At 34.8% G+C, this 22,867-nt stretch overlaps 1 protein-coding gene across 22 annotated transcripts in view; it reads right to left on the reverse strand.

Moving 5' to 3' along the window:
- The window catches only part of SOX5 (SRY-box transcription factor 5), a 1,033,147-nt gene that overhangs the window by 497,728 nt on the left and 512,552 nt on the right, over window positions 1–22,867 (reverse strand). Inside the window, exon 1 of one of the 22 annotated variants that reach the window (XM_017019894.2) lies at window positions 10,946–22,852. The exons of 20 other annotated variants lie outside the window; for them this stretch is intronic. The gene's annotated coding sequence lies outside the window, so the exon portion shown is untranslated. Of the gene's footprint in view, window positions 1–10,900; window positions 22,853–22,867 lie in introns of those variants that run through there. One more of the 22 variants, XM_047429462.1, reaches the window with a different exon arrangement.

Raw genomic sequence — 22,867 nt, forward strand, 5'->3', positions numbered from 1 at the left:
CTCCTTTATTTCTGTGTTAATTACTCCAATGACTTCTGGCACCATCTGTATTAAAAACAACACTCAGATCTGCTCTCCTGACTCTAGACTACCATATTCTACTGCCTTTCACATCTTCATTTGGATGGTTTGCAGGCACCTAATAATCATTCTGTCTCTCAACTTCCTCAATGTTTTCCAAGTGACATTGCCATTCACTGAAACCCCAAAGCTAGAAACACAAGAATTATCCCCAACATGCAGTAAATGACTAGGTACTACTTATGCATCATCCTAAATGTCTCTTAACTCTGATGCCATGCCCACATCACTCCACTTGGGGCAGAGGCATAGCAAGAGGCAGAGTAGTGGGATGGTAACTCCCCCTCTACTTGCTGCCCCAAAGCTGTGTTCTTTCGTTGAAGGTTTATTCAAGTGGTCGTCTGAATAACCTTTCAACTTACCATGTAAGATGGTAAGTTTGAAGACCAGATGAAAAGTCACAAGGAGGGGGATGGGAAAGCAAAACTTGGACACTACGGAGGAGGCCCTCATATGCAAAATCCTTTGTCATGAATCCACTCCTTCACCAATCCAAGTCACCATCCTCAATCCATTCTCCACCCCGCATTCAGAGTCATCTTTTGAAAATGCGAAACCAGTCACAACAGACTTTTCCCCTCACACCACAAGTCCACGAAAAACATCTTTAACAAGTTAGCAGGGCCTTCTCCAATCGGGTTCCTCCTAACTGCGTTGATCATTGTGCTCCCTGTTACTCTGTATTCCTCATCTTGCAATTCCTAGATTTCATCATGCTTTCTCTCACTTCCAAGATTTAGAAAATAGTATTCTATGACTTCTGTGGTTTAGGGTGCAGGGAGCAGGCAGGGAGGTTTCCCTGGCCACCTAGATTATGACACTTCCCTCTTATGCCTCTGTACAGTCAAAATGTCTGTAGCAGTCACCAACACTTTTGTAATTACACCATGTACTTATAAGGTGACCATACTGTCTTCTAGTCTCAATGTCCCTGAGGGCAGGAGATCATAACTGTCTCATTTGGTGCAAAACTCCCAGCACAGCACAGTGCCTGTCACACAGCAATGCCTTCTCAATATTGTTGGATGAATGAATTTGCTTGTTTCTTAATAATTTGGATTAATAGGAGCACGGATCAGAGTTTTAAAGTAGTAATATATCAAATATCTAAAACAGAGGTTCCTTTAAACTAAAATTTGGACAACAGAAAACCATATATTGATTGTCCCATAAGGAGATGTCGCACCTTCCTTCTAGCTGCTTGAATTTGCATGCTACTAGGCTGGTATGATAAACAGACTGATTTAAAAATCAAATAACAGACTCTAAGAAGTTATAAGAATCCCTGGATTAGTACGGGATGATAACTAAAGGATCTGCTATATTAAATCATGACAATAAAAGTAAAATCCCCCCATCTTTTCCTGGATTACATTTAGAGCTCAAATCAGAGAGCCTTAAATGAATAATAATGAATGTATGCCTCTGTGAATGATTGAAGACTGAATCACATTTTAACTAGACAATATTTATAAGTCCCTTTGGATGACATAATTACAATTCAAACCATACACTAATTAGTAGCAAACATCTATTTAATATTATTTAGTGGGTTTAAAATATGGTTTTGTTTCTGAAAACAGTAAGAGAAAGGACATTTTATGCAGAATACAAGAATGTTGAGGATTTAAGTCAACAAATAAGTTGGCGCTGCTTAGAAGCAAAACCAATTACATTTCAAAAATACATAACCAAACCAATTACATTTCAAAAATAACCATATTTTATTTTTCTGATTAATAATAAGGACTAAATATACTCATATACAGGAGACACAGCAAAATTATTTTAAATGTAGACTTTTCCAATGATAATAGTAGTCTTAACAGCAAATACACATTATTTTCTATTGACTGTAGTTCCTTTTAAATCCGTGTATTTCCTCATCAGTTTTACACTGCAGTTAAATGTACCTTAATAGAATATTTACCAAGAGCCAAAACTTCTCCAACATTTTATTTATTTATTACTTATTTATTAGAGATAGGGTCTCATTCTGTCACTAAAGCCAGAGTACACTGGCATGATCCTAGTTTACTGAAGCCCTGGACTCCTAAGGTCAAGCTGTTCTCCCACCTCAGCCTCCCAAGTAGCTAGGACTACAGATATGTAACACCACACCTGGCTGTTTTTTTAGTTTTTTGTACAGATGAGACCTCCCTATGTTACCCAGGATGGTTTCAAACATCTGGACTCAAGCGATCCCCCCACTTCAGCCTCCCAAAGCACTAGGATTACAGGCATAAACCACTGAGCCCAGCCCATTTTAATCTTTAGATAGAACTCAGTTTTGCTCCAGTTTTGCCTGACAAGTGAATACTTGTTTAACTGCGTTGAGCTCCTAATTGCATTTATTTTTATTTTTCAAAAATGTTGATCATTGCCTTCTTATTTTACTTTTAAGTCCTTATGCTCTTTTAAGTTCATGAAAGAAGAAGGAATTAGGAAAGAAGCCCTAACAAATTTCAAAATATACTAGTTTGAAAATGAAATTATGTTTTTAATAGGAGGACAACCAACATTTAACATTTTGTTCGGTATGGTATCTTTGGATAGTTATGTGTAATGCAAGAGTAAAGAAATGTTAATATTGTAAACTAACCACATCTATGTAGCACTTCATATGTGCCAGGCTCAGTTCTCACTGCTTCATGTGTATTAATACCTTTCATTCTCATTGCAACCTTATGAGGTACGTGTTGTTTTCACCTTCGTTTTACCGAAGAGAAATTGAAGCACAGAGGGTTAAGTCACAAGCTCAATTACATAGTAAATAATGAAGGGGCTTGGGTTTGAACTGAGCCCATCTGGCTCTAGAAAGTATGCTCTTTGTGGCTATATTATGCCAACTTTGTAAAACACAAATAATACTATTTTTTTGATAGTTCACTAATAAAAATACTCTCCTCTAACCTCAAATAGCCAAATAAATCTACAGCAAAAAGAACATACTGAAAGCATCATACTACCTAACTTTAAAATATACTACAAAGTTATAGTAATCAAAATAGCATGATACTGGCATAAAAACAGACACGTAGACCAATGGGGCATCATAGATCCCAGAAATGAATCCAGGCATTTGCAGCCAACTGACTTTTGACAGAAGTGCCAAAAATATATAATGAGGAACAGATAGTCTCTTCAATGAATAGCACTGGGGGTAACTGCATATCCATATGCAAAAGAAGGAAATTAGATCCTTATCTCACACCATATAGAAAATCAACTCAAAATAGAATAAAGACTTAAATGTAAGATGCAAAACTGCAAACCTACAAGAAGAAAACACACAGGAAAAGCTCCATCACATTGATCTGGGCAATCCTTCTTCAGATATGACCAGAAGCACAGGCAACAAAAGCAAAAATAGACAAATGGGATTATATCAAACTAAAAAGCTTCTGCATAGCAAAGGAAACAACCAACAGAGTAAAGAGACAACCTATGGAATGAGAGACAATATTTGCAAATCCTATATCTGATAAGTGGTTAATATTTAAAATATATCAGGAATTAAAATAGCTCATAGCAACAAGACAAATCATCAAGTTTAAAAAATAGGCAAAGAACCTGAATAAACATTTCTTAAAAGAACACATGCAAATGGCCAATGGGTATATGAACAAGTACTCAACATCACTAATCATCAGGGAAATGCAAATTAAAACTACAATGAGGTATCACCTCACACCTGTTAGAATGCTATTATGAAAAAGACGAAAGGTAACAAGTGTTGGCAAGGATGTGGAGAAAACGAAACCCTTGCATACTGTTGGTGGGAATGTATATTGGAACAGCCATTATGGAAAACAGTATGGAGGTTTTCAAAAAATTTAAAAATTAAAAATAGAACTACCATATGATCCAGCAATCCTGCTACTAGTTATATATATATATATACACAAAGGAAATCAGTATATCAAAAAGATATCTACACTCTCATGTTTACTGTAGCATTATTCACAATAGCCAAGATACAGAGTCAACCTGTGTCCAGTGGTAGATGAATGGATAAAGAAAATGTGATACATCTATACAGTGGAATATTATTTGACCATTAAAAAAAGAAAATCCTATCATTTTGCAACATAAATGGACCTGGAGGAGCTAGGCCCAGAAAGACAAATACTGTATGTTCTAATTTACATGTGAAATCTCAAAAACTTGATCTGACAGAAGTAGAAAGTAGAATGGTGGTTACCAGGAGCTGCAGAGGTGGATGAAGGAGGCTGGGGAGTTGCTGGTCAAAAAATATATTTTAAAAATTTTCCTGATTCGAATCCTATGTACACTAGTTTCTAACTTACAAGTCAGTAGTCATCTTAAGTCATTTATAAATTTTAATTTAGCACTCTGTGTTAACCCATAAAAATATTATATAATGCCCTGTTTTTACACATCCTAAAGAATGAGAATCATTGGCATGCAGCATGAAAAAAAAAATAAAAGACTCAGAGTAACTTAGCAATTGAGTATGGCTGGAGATAACAATGTGCGGAGAATGGCAAGAACTAAGGCAGGAGTGACATTATAAAGTTCTATGGTCCCAAATGCAATTTTGTAATTTTATCCATAAGAGAATGGAAATAGAAAAAAAATTATCTTATGCATAGGCATGAGATAGCCAAATAGATGTTTTACAAGGATTATAGCAGAGAAAATATTGAATATAAACCGGAAGCCAGGTAGTTATTTAAAATGCTGTTACTATTAGTAAGCAACGATGAAACCTAAGTTTAATTAGAATGGGGAAGAGGAGAACTAAACAAAAACTCAACATTTAAATAGTAAGTAGACTGGATTTGGTAACTGGTAACACTGAAACTGTTGGGGAGGAAATAAACTATGGGCAAATTATAGTAATACCTAATATATACACATCAATGCTTTAACATTGTTTTGATTTTTAAACAGAAAACCCATAGGCAGCACAAGAATAACATAAGCCATGGTGAAAAAAAAAGGTATCATTACAAATATGAGGTTTTATCATACACCATTCTTATCTTAAAATTTCATAAAATCTTCATTTTAAAATACCATCTAACTGAATTTAGTTCCTGAAAACATCAGTACCTTTTATAATTTCACCTATAATATAATCAGTCAACATTGATTAATAATATAATTGCTATACTAAGGTTTGGATAGAAAATAAAAATTTATCATCAAATATATTTCACTTGTTCAATGATTAAAATCTATAATTATAGGTAACATTTTCATAGCAAATTTTGTATGAAGAATTAATCTGGTGTGCTAGCATTTCCTGCTGTTAACTGTAGTAACTACTTGTAAATGACATTTAAAATCAACTTATGCATTCATTCATTCAACCAGGCCATGCCAGGTAAGTACCAGGTAGGTAAAACTACTAAACTCGGTGGGAAATATAAGTGAAAGAGAAGTTATAGTTACTATCCGAAAGAAATTTAAAACTTAACTAAGGAAATTAAATGTAGGGGCATCTCATTCTAACAGTAGCAACTAAATCTGTTAATGAATAGCATTTTATTTTCAATTAAATTACTTTCAAACTACACTCTCTTCTGCTGCTTATTAGGATGAAATATAGCAGGTTATATATTTCACACTTTGTAACACTTGGACTTTTTGTTCTTTCTTTCTTTTAATATTAGAAGGCCCTAACTGGGATTCTCAAACTGGAAGTTGGATTTTGAATCTTGAATTACATTAAAAGTTTGTGTATAAGCACGTTTGTGAGGAGGTCTACAGATTTAATCAAAATTTAAAATGGTTTCATGACCCCAAAAGGTTGAAATACCATGAGGTCATTTAGGGAAGTAGAAAATGAATCTAAATCATGTTTCTCCAAAGCCAGTAACTTATCTTAATTTGTTGTTATACATCTTTTCCAAGTGACTTTACAATTCTGCAGAAAGAGGAATGAAAATAATAAAACCTCAGCCCAAAAGTCACTGTCCTAAAATTGTAAGTTAAATACCTAGCCAGTCTTGAAATTTTCAGTTATAGAATTTAAGATTTTAATGAAATATTTATTTGTCAAAATAAGTTTTCAAGATTTTTTATGTCTAACTTTAAAAAGTGCTCTGAAACTCACAGGACCATTACAAAGTGATTTAAAAAAAGAGTATCAATCCCAGCTTAAAAAAATAAAGTTTCTAGGCTTTTTATGAAAATTCAGTTCCACAATGCTATTTTTTAAAGTTACAATTTTCTGCAGCATCAAAAAGTTCCATTTTGAGGACCAGAAGTTTAATTCAGACAGGATGGTTCTCACAAGCCTTCTAAAGCAATCTACATCTACTGACGTAGACTTACAGGTAAGTAAGAAGATGGTGATTAACACCTTCAGAAACAGTAGAAATCTTTGTGATTTTATTTAATCTCTGTTGAGCACAATGAGTATGAATGAATTCAAATTTCCAGAAAATCCGTCTGTAGGTAGAACAAATAAAATATTTAATCACAAGGGTCTGGAATCAGTACTCATTACTGCTAATAGCACAGTTGTATAAAAGAAGACACAATGCTACCTTACGCTAGCCTGAGTCAGATAGGATTAGGAATAGCCAAAACCACAATATAGTTCCCTTTTTTTGCTTGTTTTCAATGATGCTTAGTTGGGATTTGTCATCTGAAGACAGCGTTTTTTATAGGTCATAATAAGACCAGTCTATAATCAAAGTCTGTAAGTCCAGTCTATATTTTATAAGTCCAGTCTATAATCAAAGACACCAAATTTAGGACTATCAGTCTCAGACTTTAGAGAAACATAACTGTTTTGATAATCCAGGTAATTTTAATTTTCTCCAGTGGAGAAAGTGAAACATCTCCAACAGATTGATTGTCACCAAGAGTTTTAATTTTTTGAAGAGGACAAAGAATTCCATTCAGCTTCCAGAGAATGAGTGAATGAGAAGGCATTTCATTTTCCAAAGCTCCCTTCTCTCTCATTTCTCTAACACAATACACTTGGAAACAAAAGGCAGATTATTAACTTTTAAAATGAAGCTACTTGTTTCTCTCCCCTCTCTGGATGCCTCGCCCCTCCTCTCTCCTGCCTCTCAGCACATCTGGTAACCATGTGTGGTAGTGCTAATGAAGACTTTCCTGAGTGAGTTACAATTAGTTCCGACTGCCGTGCAGCTTTCCTGGGCTGTACCAAAGTAAAACATAGGAATGGGGGCAAAGGAGAACCAATAACTATTTCACTTCTCAAAACTGAATTCTCTTCTGCCCCTGGGACTCTCATCACCAATGCTCGGGAGGATTTTTTTTTTTTTTTTTAAGGTGTAAGCAAATACTTTCATAGTTTCCTCCAAATCAGTATTTTATCCAACTTGATTGAATGCAACAGGCAGGCAACAGTACTTCTATGATCCTCTGAATAATAAAGAATTGTTAAATAGATGCTATTCCCCCTTCATGGCCTACGTATTATACTTACCTAACAATTTTATCTACTTTAATAGAATAAATTTGTGTGTTTGTGTGTTTTACTATTTGATGGATTAGAAGGAACTGCGGAAGCAAATGTACTGTATACAATTAGGCTGTCTTGAAACCGTACATTTTTGTTTACTCTAGGCCTCTTCCCCCTTCTCAATCAAGCTACTAATAGAGCTGTTTTAAGTTTCAACAAGGACCATATTAACTGTGGGTCTCCACATGAAACAGAATGCTAAACCCCAGAGTCTCCTGACAATGTGAGCTCAAAGTCTCCCAAATCCTGTTTCACATTTTTGTCTGAAATCATGGTTACTTCTTTGCAATGCTTTTTTCTGTACCTAGCAAATTATTAGTGCTCAATAGACAATATACGATGGCAGTGACGCCCTTTGTGAGCATGTTTTAAGTGACACTGAGGGTAGAAAACTTGATATAGTTATTTTTGACAACTTGTATTTATGCCTTACGATTTTAATGGCATCTACTTTTTAATTTTACCAACTCTGGTCCTTTTATATGGATTTACTTGGTAAAAGCTAACCAATGATAACAACCACAGTTTGCATTTCAGCCTGCCAAGCATATTCTCTATATACACACAGTAGGCACATGAACTCCTGTAACAATTAAGAGTCACAAATAAACATTTATAAACAAGAATTCAAAATCAGAAATAAAAACTGGATTTCCTAACATGCCACTTGAAGCTGTAACAATGTATAAATCAAATCATCCCCAAAACAAAGAAATACAGCAATCAAGAAACAACATAGAAGAAAGCTGTGGGAATGTTACTTCTTCTTTTAACAGAAACCAAAATGAAATGATATAACATCCAGGAATAGTGATCATAAAGAAAATGCAATAAGCATATTAGGTTAAAAAATAAATCACACTCCTTCAACTCCTCTGGAACTTAAATGTAAATAGTTTCTTAATAAAATAAAGAAAAACATCTCCCTCACTATGTATAGTTGAAAAATATTTCAAATTCATACAACTAAAATTTCTACAACTGTTTTCCCTGCTGCCGTCCCCTTCTCTCATTAAAAATGTGAATGATTTAACTGTACAGTACCAAAATCTCAGGCTAGAGAAAGTTTTACCCTGAGCTGGCCAGGGTAAAACTTTGCATCCATGTCTGGGTGATTATCCTTCCGAGTTGATCTCTGTTCCTTTCAGAAATGATCAAATTTAAAATAAAAACAAAAATCCTCTGCAGATCTTTTGTAAGGTGTGTGGGTGTTTTTTTCATACCAGGAGAACCCTAGAGAATGGGAAAATTATACAACACACGCAGAAAATTCTTATAAAAGGCTTTAACTTAAGTGATAAAAATACTGAGATTCATCTACATTTCAAAATGCCAATATAATTGGCACCACTAACAATAAGTTAGTTAGCAACACAAATACTGTAATATAGAATGATGTGACTTTCAGTACTAATTTTTTCTTTATATTTATGAATAGGATGCTGACTTTAGTAGCAATAACGACAGTTAATGACAACCCAGTGAGCCATTGCCCAGTGCCTCCTGGGCCTTAGGAAGGGGGTAGTCCCATGTGTAAATGATAATTAATGCCATTAAACATTCCAACACTATACTTACTTAACAGCTTTTGGCATTCAAATGCTCAAATGTTTCTACAGTACCTTACAAAATAATTAGATACTGCGAAGGTATACAGGGTTGATTTTCAAGGTAACTGATATTTCTCTTGAGAACCGAATTGGTCTGTAATTTTTATGTTCACAAATCAGTTTTATATGTGGGCATTATATTTTTATGGAACTAAGTAATAAGCTGTGTACGAATTCAATACACTGTAAGCCGTGCCCCTCACACAGTTGACATCAATTCTCAGTCCCTGTGTCACTAAGGTTTGCTCTGCACCTGATGCTGCTATGACAAATCAGACTGCTTCTAGATGTGATTCAAATGCATTTCTACAAACTGTGGACTCAGTGATGTATATAATGATCATAGCCCTACTCTCAATATTTCAGGAAGGCAGTGGGAGGTAAAACTAAATAATACAATATTCACATATTGGATAACAACTTTAAAAGTTATCTAATGTTGGTAAACATATATAATAGGATCTGATTTCCTGACAATAAAGAATCCTTTTATTGTATGTACAGATGTTTAAATTAACACACACATTCCATTCTTATCTCTCTTAAATTCAGCAGGATAACTGTAAGTCTTTGCAAGGCATGTTATCAATGTAAAGGCAATAAAAAAGTCACTCTCTTGTGAATTACTATTTACAGTATTTCACAAGAATGGCATTCACACCCTCCAAATGAACAAGGTTGTCTCTTTAAATTGAAGGACACCACAGGCACTCTTCATCAGTTAGCATTAGTGATAGGGGGAGGGGGAGGGAGAAAATAAACCATTTTTCCATCATTTGAACTCTCCCTGACCTTTGCAAGCTATTCAAGTAGGCTCTTAAGATAATTCAAATGAATAACATATACACACATACATAGAACAGATATACAGACAGCAAAAGAGTGAATCCTATTAACTAGATAGGTTGATATGTAGACAGACATTCACCCCCTTGGAGCCTATTTCTTGGTATTGTCATTGAGAGCACAAGAGTAACTCCCATTAAAAGACAGTAAAAACATTCCATGATTTTAATCAATCATTATGTGAACCAAGGTATAGACTTGCTGTGAACCATGTATAGATAAAACAAACAGATAAAAAATAATAAGAAAAAAGCCACCTGCCCATATGGTGACTTCAAATTTTTCCACATATGATCATGGTTGTACTAGTTGGAGAAAGTGGGTAAGGAGACTGGCAAATATCAAATGCACTAAGAAGTATACAGTGAAATAGATCATTCAAGTAATATTTAGCTTAAAAAATTCAAAATATCCCAGTCTTAAACTTATTTCTATTCCAAAAGTTAAATATAAAATTTTAGGAAAAGATGTTACATGTCATGAATGTGCACTCATACACATCTACAAATACAAAATTATTTATTCATTTTTACTAAAATATTTGCTCAAAATAGAGACTAACTGATGTCTGTCTAGCAACTTACAACACCACTTCCCCACTTAACTTGCACTACATGCTGGAGTCCTAATGGTACTATTACCGGGCCAGTTGCAATTTTTTACACAGAACACTGATGAAGATAGTAACCGAAACTTGACACTTGAACGCATTAAAAAATCATGCATGAATCATGCATGTAAATATTTTTAGGTTGCTTTCTGAAGCCACTCAGTTACCTATTTCCCCAGAAAGACATACAAAAGGGGAAAAGAGTAGAAACCAAGATTTAAAATATGACAAAATTATCCTCTATAAATCGTACAGTTTCTAGACTCAAAAGCAAAATCCTACCAAAATTAACACAGGAAGATAGAGATAAAAGAGTCCCAAATAAACCTTTCTTCCAGCCAGAAACCATGTGAATGTGGAAGTTTCTTCAGAGTAAAACGTGTATCTTGGGTTCCCAGGAAGCTCTGTCAGTGGCAGGGATGTGGAATTCACTGGCCCTGCAAACTCATCCCTCCCAGGCTTTCCTGCTACCTTCTGGAGCAGTGACAATACCAATTCTAGAAACCAGGAGTAAAGAGGGAATTGCTCTATTGTGATTCCCAGTGACCCATAGAACAGGATTTCACTAGTCCTATGACATGTGACTGGGCTTGGGAAGTTCCCGTGTCAGTTCCAAAAATCCTAAGGTGGGATCTTCGCTTTGTGAAGCAAATTAATTACACAACCAAATATTGCCACATTCTTGAGGTCTATTGACACAATGGGAACTTCAACCCCTACTTAGCTTAGCATTTTTTTTTTCAAGAGTGAAAAGTGGTCCACGTAGAGCACAATATAATTTAAGTAAAGGAAGATTAAAACATATTTTTATCCATTTCTTATGGTGGGAAATTACATGTTTTAGATTTGAGGTCCCCCTCTCAGGAAACCCTTTCAACTTCGTATTATTCACTCCTGAGTAGTATGTGGTAGAAAATGAGTGGAAATCAGTTTGTCCACTATTTCCGAGTCTTCTGCACTGCAATACTTTCATCAATATTTACAATATCTCAGTCCTGTTTACAGATGTGTATCACATCAGGCTCAACCAAGTTACAGAATTCTCTGTGGTTTTTATCTGGACATCTAATTAAAAACTAAAAGTTATTATTCTCACAATTATCACTGCTTTTTAAAACCAGTATATTCACTACATGTTCTTCTTAGTTTCGAAATGAGAAAATAACCAGTATTTTATGTATAGGATATCCAATAATAATTTTATTAAGAAAGAGACTTAAGAAACTCTCCCCCTTTCCCATATCCCTGGCAGGATAAAATAGCATTTCTAATGGTAAATACTAAAGTAAAAAAATGTGAACAGTCATGGAAACTGTGAGTTTTCCCAACACATGTGAGTCACTTAATATCCCCAGAAGTAATGTAGCCACCCGAAAAAACACACAGATTCAAAAGGAGATGATGATTTGATGGTTTTTCCTGTGTCTAAGTAAGATTGGCTATGACTAAATAATTTCTCAATTGCTGGACTAAAACAAGCCAAAACAAACAGTGTTTAAAACTTTAAAGTATATTGTGTGGTGGTGACTGTCCAAGGTCTTGCTAAAGTCAACATTGATAGATAATACTGAGATGAGTTAGATGCAAAGGGCTGTTCTTCAATTCATTGATTATAAAAACAAAAAACTCTGCAGCATTGTTGCAACCAGAAAAAAATAAAAATAAAACATTCTCACCTATATATTAACAAATCCAACATGATTCACATTTAATAATAAGAGGGGAAACATATATACCTGAGGTAGTTAAAGTTCAAATGGTTGCAAAATGGTAAAATATTTTTCTTAGTATAACAATGGTAGAATAATTCTCAGCATTTTCAAATCAATAAAAATTTTGTCCATATCCTACAGTATATACATATTCATTTTCCCTAGCCCTTTTGTAATCATTCACATTTCTTTAAATGAAAAAAGTACCAGGAGTATAGTTTAAAATATTAAATGGAAACACTGAAACCTAATCAAGGAAAAGTCATTCATTTAATCAAGAAACTTTTATCAAATGCCTATTGTGTCCTACCGGAAGTGTCTCAGTTCTGTCGGAAGGTAAACTATGCAGATACAATAGAAGTGAACACTTGTTTCCCAGCCTTGCTAATTTTAATCTTATTATGGAAACCAGGTATACATATTTTTCTAAGTTGCTTAAAATTTAATTACTTAAAATTACTTAAAATTCTAAATTACTTAAAAATTTAATTCATGTCAATGTGATCAAACAGATCAATTTCTTTCATTGTCCTGGTTCAATTATGTTAACATTATTTTCCCAGGAAGATAATGTTCCTAGGAACATATAGATTTAAAAAACCAGCAAATAGGAAAAAATGTAGGTTGTAGACTTCTTTTCCAGGTAGTCTTTGAAAAATGAACAGAATTCAGTATTGAAAATATCTATGGTTCTAACTTTGTCACTGTGTAACCTTAAATAAATTACTTAGCATCTCTGAGTCTTTACTTTCTAAACTATTAAATGGTTTGTGATGAAACTGCTCCAAGTAAAAAGATCACAAATTTACCACTTATAAATTCTAGTAAATATTTGGAAGATGGTAGAAACAAAGTAATTGTAACCATACTGTTATTATATTGTCATAAGACAAAATGCCCTTGTGGTTGTTCAAAAACTACATGAATCTTCTCTGACAATTGAAAAATAGAAATGTTTCAATGTTTCATTACAAATATGAAATATTTACTTAAGCTATATGCCTACAATGCTTATTAAAAATTCATTTAGGCCGGGTGCAGTGGCTCACGCCTGTAATCCCAGCACTTTGGGAGGCCAAGGCAGGTGGATCACGAGGTCAGGAGATGGAGACCATCCTGGCTAACACGGTGAAACCCCATCTCTACTGAAAAATACAAAAAGTTAGCCGGGCGTGGTGGCGGGCGCCTGTAGTCCCAGTTCCTCGGGAGGCTGAGGCAGGAGAATGGCGTACACCTGGGAGGCGGAGCGTGCAGTGAGCCGAGATTGCACCACTGCACTCCAGCCTGGGCGACAGAGCAAGACGCTGTCTCAAGGAAAAAACAAAAAAAAAATTCATTTAATGGTAGAATACTTGCTTGTGATTGGGGGAAATACTAGTGATTGGGAAAATGGTAGAATGCTTAGAATACTTCGTGACTGGGGGGAAACACTTTATAAATAACAAGCACTTAATAAGTTAAATACAACTCTAAATTTAAAAATATTTTCTCTTTACCAATAATCAAAAATACTATTATTTCTTAAACTACAGAATTTGGACATGTAGGAAAACTGATGTAGCTGCAAATGGATAAGAGATATCAAAGCTGAAGAATCCCAAATACCAGTTTTGATTGTCCCAGTGGGATGGGTAAATGGGGCTTTCTCTATCTTTTGAGTCCTGAGTTTTGCATATCATAAGGCTCACTGAATACTTCTTAATTGAGTGATACTAATCTTAGATATTCATATAGTTTCAGTGTCTCTATCCCTTAAAAAATTGTCATGATGAGGATACTGAAATTATAAGCTTCATATTACTTACTAGCAATACCATATGCCAGAAAAATGACAAATTACTGGGTTCAGGAGACAGACAGAGGGATCAATTTGGTGCTTAAGAAATACTGACAATTAAGAATTTCATGAAGAAAAAAGCATTTGGATTCTTATGATTAAAGGCTACAAATTTACAATATAATACCATAACTACATTGCTTAAAGTCCTTAAACCGCTTACTTTATTATTTCTTTCTCAAAACTCAACTCCTCTTGAGAATTGATAACTGCAAACAATAAGTAACTTTCCAAACTGTTTCCATGATCGAACTCTACTGGTGAACAAAATATTCAAAGATCCTTATGTAAATTAAAACACAGGGGAAATATAAAATTGCTATACATGCTCAGAAAACATCATAAGGAAGTCTAGATAAAAAGTAGATAATAACATTAGATAACATTTTTTGTCCCTGGCTACAAAAACTACCATCTCTAAATTTCAGAATGTTCCTGTGACAGATGACAAACTAATAAATTTGGTAAGACTTGCTTTATTTGATGTATTGATTAATAATAATTTGTAACTTATTTTAAACTGAACTTTAAAAATAAACATTATGTGCTCATTAAATAATGTGAAGGCCTCTTGTAAAGCCCCAAATTAATCATTAAGGTTGTTTGTTTAACATCTACCATGCATAAGACACACTACTGGGTACTCTAACTGTATTTTAAAGTTAATAAATAGACCAAAGATTAATCAATACCTAATTTAATCATTTGAGTATATTTCTTCAAGTATTGTGAAGAAAAGTTAGTGCAGACCTGAATACATATAACATTTTTATTATAAAAATAAAGGACTAAAGAAATATGCAAGGCATATAAACAAACAATACAAGTTTTAGGTAGCCTTGGTACTGTTGGTTCTAATAAATACGCATTAACTTTAGCATAATATCAATATGTACCTTTATAGTATTATATAAACAAAGCAGTAATAAAGAAGTTACAATTGATAAAACAGGTTGCACCATATTTATCCTGGCCTGGAATCCCTCTTGAAATCATGCCTAATATTCACAGTAGAATCTAGAGTTCAATAATGTATCAAGCGTGTTACACTAACAACATTTTAAAATATTTCTTCCTGACCAAGTTTTTCAGCTATTCTGAAGTGTGACTGACTGGAATATTTGAAAGTTTCTCTAGATAATGCAATTATAGTGTCATCCATATCCATCATATATATTTAGCCTTTTTTAAAAAGTATATTTAGTGTATCATTTGCTTTAGTGATAGCCAGCAGCAATGAATTCCACAGTTTAGCTGTATGTGGCACAAAAAATTACTTCCTTTTAACTGTTTTGGTCAAGATATTTTATTTCACTGGGTGTGTACTTGCACTGAGAATATAAAGGATGCTAAAGAAATCCACCAATGGATATATATTTTTCATTACTATATTCAGTCAATACAGATAATAGCCTTCATTTGAGTCTCATATTTTACTCATGACTAAAATACAGTGCTGGCATTTGCAATTCCTTATTTCTCAATGATTTCATTTTCTGCTTTTGTGAAGCACACAGAACCTTCAGCAAACATTTCTCAAAGAATGTATTGTTTAATATTTACCAAAGTTTGTTACATTCTGACTATGAGTATTAGTAGAGGAGAGACTGGAACAGATAACCTAATGTTGGGGCATATAAAAATAATTGATAATGCTTCCCATCAAAGCCTGAGCCAATTTTGAGGTTCATATTGTGTTGCAAACTACCTAAAGAAGAGATGAATTGTCTCCATAGACTTTCTGGTTCATAAATTTCCTGTAGAAAGGAAGTAATTGTTTTTGTTTAAAGGAAACATCCTGGGTTAAATTAAGCAAAAGTCTCATTTTCTGTCAACAGAAGACAAAGCAGAGAGGTAAAAAGGTCAATAAATATCGGAAAGCAAGAGACTAACTGGTATTTATTTGGTACCTTGCACGCGTAAGCATTGAGAACACCAGAAAAAACAAAATATCTGAATTCCTGAATTAATTTCCCTTTTGTGTTCAACTATTTTGTATTTTGCAAAGGTGTGATATAAAAACACATTGCCCACCATACAATAAATATATATGCTAATGTTTTAAAGTTTAAACGCTTTCTAATTCAAAATAAAGCATGGCAGAACTGGGACAATCATCTGTTCTACCCGCATGTGTCCAACTGGTCCAACAGAACTTTCTTACTGAATTTCCCCAGAAATTAAGGTAAGGGTCCCCCAAGTTCATCATGGGATGGCGGCATTTCTGTGTTTTTAGTATCCTAACAAGACACAAGTTTCCTTAATCATATGTTGCACATATAAAACCTTTCCTGATCTACATGAGTTTTCTTTTTTGTGGATATTTAAAATGTTATGGAATTACTCATAAAATTGTAAATATAAGATATAGCTACCTCTTGAATTTGGACTACTGCATTATTTCTTAGAAAGGAGAAGAACAATATATAATTTTTACTTTCTTGGGCATTTTCCATTAGTAATGTAACAACAATTTTAATTATAAAATACTGAAACCTCCATCACGTATCATAATTTTCAATTTAACCTTACAACAAAGCATGTACCCACTTCAGAGATTTGGGGTAAGGATTATATTGAATAAGTCATGCTAAACACATACAGGAAGACCTAATATATAGTAAATATTCAAATAAATTGTCATCATTGTTGTTTTATAAAAGGAATGATCAATGTCTTTAAAGACTCAATTTGCCTTGGGGCATCCACAATTTGAATAATACTACACAACATAAAGGTGTCTGTGCATGCCTTTGATTTATATGTATACGCAAAATGTATTTATCAATGTATTCAACAATTTTATACTAAGAACCTCCTATATGTGTATGACAACACAAAGATGAAGGACATAATGCCTCAGCGGAGAAGCTTAGTGTAGCAGGTAAGTATAACACTGTTGCATTTAATAGGTAAGTGTGAAATAATACATTATGTGCCACAATAGAACTATGCACAGGGTATAGTAAGTGCCAAAATATTGCTGCCTTTTCTAGTCCGGGAGGGGCAAGGATTACCAGAGAAGACAGTGAATTAAGACTTTTATGCTTCTTAGAAACATTCTCACGATAAGGCAGGATCTTCCTCTAAGTATGTTTATCTATTGTCATTATGGCATTATGTTGGCAGAGTCTTTGGGTATGCAACCTTAAAGAATGTTTCCATCTCCACATGATACTCCTAAATATTAGATTCAAAATGTTAAGTCGTATTTTATCCTATTGAGTTAAAAAATTCCTGGCTATCTCCAAATATAAATTAGTGTTTGTCTTTGAGAATGTCACTGTCTTCATAAGGATTTCTACAATGCATATTCCATATCGAACTGAACCTAAAATGCATCCCTGATTGGCCTTGTCAGCCAGAAGGCTATTCTATTATCCATCATAGTGCCTGACATGTAGCAAGCACTCAAGAATACATATTTGTTAAAGCAACAAATGAGTGAATGAAGGAATTAACTCTCAGTCCCTTACCATCTTAGAAGAGCCTTGGACAAAAGCAAAATAATCAGCATTACAATAAATGTAGCATGTTCTAACTGTTTTTAAAATATTTCTTTTGGATCTGAGGTGAACATTCAGAAGTCTGGATATGCTTCTGAAACAAAGAGTGGGTTCCAAAAAAATCTGAGCAGGGTTTGCAAACAACTAAGATCAGTCAAATCTCCCACTAGGAGGTTATGGCCATGCATAGCCTCAAAATATCCAGCAAAAGCATAGTAAGTAAGTAAGATAGTGGACTCTGGACTCCACTGCTTGGGTTCAGATCAAGTCTCCACCCCTGACTAGCCATGTGACCTCTGGTAAGTTACTTCACCTCCCAGTGCTTTAGGTTATTCATTTATAAAATAAGAACACAATAATGCTTCCCTCATAGGATTGTTTCAAGGACCAAAGGGATTAAATATTTGAAGTAACTTTAAATAGCATCTGTACGTATTAGGTACTCTATTGGTGTTTAATAAATCAGTAGTCACTTAAAAGACCTCCCAGGCTCAAGAAACCCTCCCACTCAGCCTCCCGAGTAGCTGGGACTACAGGTGTGTGCCACTACGCCCAGCTAATTTTTAAATTTTTTTGTAGAGGTGGGGGTCTTACTATGTTGCCCAGGCTGGTCTCAGACACCTGGGCTCAAGCAGTCCTCTTGCCTCAGCCTCCCAAACTGCTGGGATTACAAGTGTGAGCCATCTTGCCGGCCAGAAGACAACCTTCTTAAAGACAGGGCCAATGAGAAACTGCTATGTACTTCCGTTGAATTGTCATGGAGTTCCTTCCCATGGCTATTTGTAAATTTCAATGTGTAGCCCACCATTATGCAGAAACCAGTATGTATGGTGGCAGCTACACAGGTGTGTTTCTTTATAAAATTATCCCTCTGTACAGGGGAATCCTTTACACATTTCAGTGTAGGATTCCCTCCTTGAACAATTCAAACATGTTGTTTCTATGGCCAGGGAGCTGCATGGTTCTCCTCTGTCTCACATGTTTTGGTTTATTCCATAGCTCTTATGTGTCTCCTGTCACTCTGGCTGTTTTTGGTTTTGTTGTCTGTATTCAACGGAGGCTTGTGGTCATGTCTATCCCAAGCGTCTGTGTTGCCAGTTGCGCGGTTTGCCCCCTCTGTCTCTCATCATTGCTTTTGGCTCAGTCCCTTGACAGGAAATGAGAGATTTATTTTATCTGGCTTGAACTACATTGTTCCTTCCTGACTACTGGTGTTACTTCACTCTAAATAACGTGACTTTGTGCTCACAGTCTGCCCAAGGTCAAAGCCTGAGGGTAATAGACACATTTAAGAGAGGGGAGGAGACTATAACCACAGTGGGGTGGGCAAGAAGAGAATTTCTAAAAGGTAGTGATGTAAAAGCGAAACTTGGGGCGGGTCTAAATTTTCTGGTGAACTCGAAATGGAATCTGTTCTGAAGAGCTGAAAGGAGAGCCTTTTTTTTCCCTTTCCAGATGTTATAAATTTAAAATGACACTGCGAAGTAATTTAGGCTTGAAATTTAAATTTAGCTTTAAAAAGAAAGCATGAGTTATCTGGCAGAAGAATTTACAAAGCTTATTAATATCTGTGATATCCTAATTGTATGATATTAAATTGACATCATTATCAGAATTCAAATATTCCTCTTTGGTTTGACATAAAAATATAAGAGAATTATAAGAGTGCATAAATCAGTAAAGACAACTTAATTATGAAAAAGTAAAACAAAAGACATGCTACCTAGCCTCAGAACTTGTAGCTATAGAAAAGGTTTTAAAATGTGTCTTTTTTTTTTTTTTTTTTGAGACAGAGTCTTGCTCTTGCTTTTGTTGCCCAGGCTGGAGTGCAATGGTGCGATCTCGGCTCACTGCAACCGCTGCCTCCTGAGTTCAAGCCATTCTCTTACCTCAGCCTCCTGAGTAGCTGGGATTACAGTCGCCCACCACCATGCCCGGCTAACTTTTTTGTATTTTTTTTTTAATAGAGATAGGGTATCACCATGTTGGCAAGGCTGGTCTCAAACTCCTGACCTCACGTGATCCACCTGCCTCAGCCTCCCAAAGTGCTGGGATCACAGGCGTGAGCCACCGCTCCCGGCCCTGAATTTTTAAATATAAACAAAAATACAACATCTCCAACCTATTCAAAATATTTCCTTTCCTTCTTATTTTTTCCCCCTTTGGAGGTACGAATAACACTTTCTTGGTTTTTCAGATACCTCTAGAATTTCAAAGAGACAGTAGGGTGACAATCAAAAGACATGGTGAAAGAAAACATTTCAGTGTCACTGATCACACCATTTATGCTGGGCTGACCTTTTCTGGAATAGTTTTAAGAATTGAGAGGCAGGGAGAAAACTGGCTAATCTAGAAATATATTTTCCTGTTCTTTTAACAGATAGTCATGTTATTTAATAATACTTCTGCCTCAGAAAAATAGATTTAATGGAAATGGACTTTAAATGAAGCAAAAAGGATTGAGGTTACACACAATTTTGCACACAGAAAATTATTTCATATGGACACTCCATTCTTGGGGAACATGATGAAATGATGAAATTCCCTTTACTAATGATCTTTCAACACTCATTCTGTGTACTGTAAGCACAGTTTATGCTGAAGTCAGAAGGAAATTCCTAATGATATCTTAAAGACTGTAGGCGTTTATGACTTACGACATCTCCTTTATGAAGCCCTACGCAAATTTATGGCACTAGTGGGCATTACCACATGGGATCAGCCAGGACCTAGTGTCTGCAAATCATAAATGGTTTATTTCTTTATGCAAATACCTCGGCTTTACACATTCTCTAACTAGAAATTATTCAACAAGATCATACTGCCTTTACCTGTCAATTTCTTATGAGGTGGTCTGCATGTGGAATGAACCCTCAAACCCTAAAATTTGGTTGACACAATTGCATAACAATTCCAAGAAAGTCTCACTTTTTAACATTAATTTACTAAAAGTCACAGCAAACAGTGTTTTGTAAACATTGTTTTAAATGTTTTCTGGTTGTTAAATTCTAAATAAATTCTTGAAGAGTAAACGTTAACAAGTGATCCTTTTCTTCAGTTAGGAGCTTCTAAATCAGCCAAGAAGGTTCTCAGGTGAATACCTAAATCATCCCAAGAATCTTCTCCTTGTCAGTCCCTACACCTGAAGTACTCAGGAGTAAAAAGTTAAGAAACAAAGGAAAATAACATTCATTAGAAAGTTACTATATGATCAGCACTGCATGAACAGCTTTCTGATACATCATCACATTCCGTGCACACAAACTCCAGGCAAAATCAGTGTTATTACCCTCATTTTATAGATGGCAGAATGAAATTTCAGAGATATTAAGTAACAGGCCCAAGATCATGAAGTTCATACGTGGTGAAGTTGGGATTCAAATTTAGATGTATTATAAAACTCATGCCTATTTACTATTCTGGAGTAGGAATTAAAATGATGAATTTCAGAATTCCGCATGTCTCAAGTCCAACTGTGTTCCTTATCTGTACAAAATAAAGAGTTATAAACAGGAGCAGTTCCTGTGTTCTTCAAAATATTAAACATAGAGCTACTAAATGACCCAGTAATTCCATTCCTAGGCATATACCCAAGAAAAATGTAAATATATGTCGACACAAAAACTTGTACATAAATGTTCATAACCACATTATTTATAATGTGAATTCATACTCATTGGTTCCAAAAGGTGGAAGCAACCCAGATATCCATCAACTGATAAATGGATAAATAAAATGTGGTATATCCATTCAATGGAATATTATTTGGCAAGAAAAATACCTGAACTATTAACATATACCACAGGACGAACGAAGCTTGAAAACATTACGCTAAGTGAAAGAAATCAGTCACAAAATATCACATACAATATGATTCCACTTATTTGAAATATCCCAAATAGACAAGTTTATAAAGACAGAAAGTAGATTAGTGATTGCCTATGGCTGTTAGTGTTTCTAGGAAAAATAAGGAGTGACTGTTAATAAGCATGGGATTTCTTTTTGTGGTGATGAAAATGTTTTAGCTTTGATTGTGGTGATGTTTGCACCACTCCATGAATAATACTAAAAAAACCCACTGAATTCTTCAGTTTATATTTTGTACAACTACATCTCAATGTAAATGATGTCCTAATAAAGTTATTGCCAAAAAAAAATGCAGTTACATAAAATCTTAGCATACACGTCCTGAGGAACAAATAGGTAGCACATTCCCTGTGGAGATGAGAAACAACTGAACAAATCTAGCTATAGCAGCAGGGAAAGGAAGTTGGTTTTCTTCTATCATTTTCCCTCAGCATCAGTAAAGCTTTAGTGTGTTAGGTCAAGGTAGACTTCTAATAACTGAAAGGGTTGAAAAGATATCACTCCTTGGCCAAATACGCCTTGAGACCAAGGCGTGATGAAAAAGTGAAAACCACAAACTGGCAGTTTATTTACCCACGCTAAACCACTTGTTTGACATTTCCTATCTAAACTGACCAGTGATTTGAGAGTTGTGTAGACAGCCACAAAGAACAACTGAAACAGTGAGAAAGCATTATTTTAAAACAATTAAGAGAATTCCCTGCACATTCAGTTCTTCAATATTCCAATGAACATGGCAAATTTGTCAATATGATTTTTAGTCCTGCAGCTAATCATTAGATGACAGAAAAACATCATGTTGTGGCAAAGAATCAGTAGGTAATAATCAGATATCTCATAATGTTGATATTTTCCAATCCTTCATAGTTTTTTTTTTTTTTTTTTTTTTTTTTTTTTTTTTGGAGGTAGGGGGAGAATCCCAGAAATACCAGAGCACAGAATAGCAGATTTATGAAGGACCAGTTCTCTGGAGATAATGTCACATTTATCCCAATAATCTTTAGATGTTTATACCTTAAAAGTTACTCAGCTGAAGTTGCTTTCAAATTAAACACCATTGCTGCAGTGTTTCTGTTGTGATTGTCGGAGGGAAGTGGAGCCAGTGCAATTTGTCCATGTTTTACAAATCACCATCTGGCAGGGATATGGCAACATGTGAAATCTTCACAGGACTCTTGTTTTTCTACTATCTGCTGGATAACTAAGGAGATCACCAGACTGCTGGGACGCCTGCCAGATAGTAAGCAGGTATGTTTATGAGTTTAAGATTCTTATTTTCTTTCAATGCTTTCACATGCTGTGGGCGCAGAGGCAAAAAAAAAAAAAA

This window comes from Homo sapiens, chromosome 12, assembly GCF_000001405.40.
Source record: "Homo sapiens chromosome 12, GRCh38.p14 Primary Assembly".
NCBI lineage: Eukaryota > Metazoa > Chordata > Mammalia > Primates > Hominidae > Homo > Homo sapiens.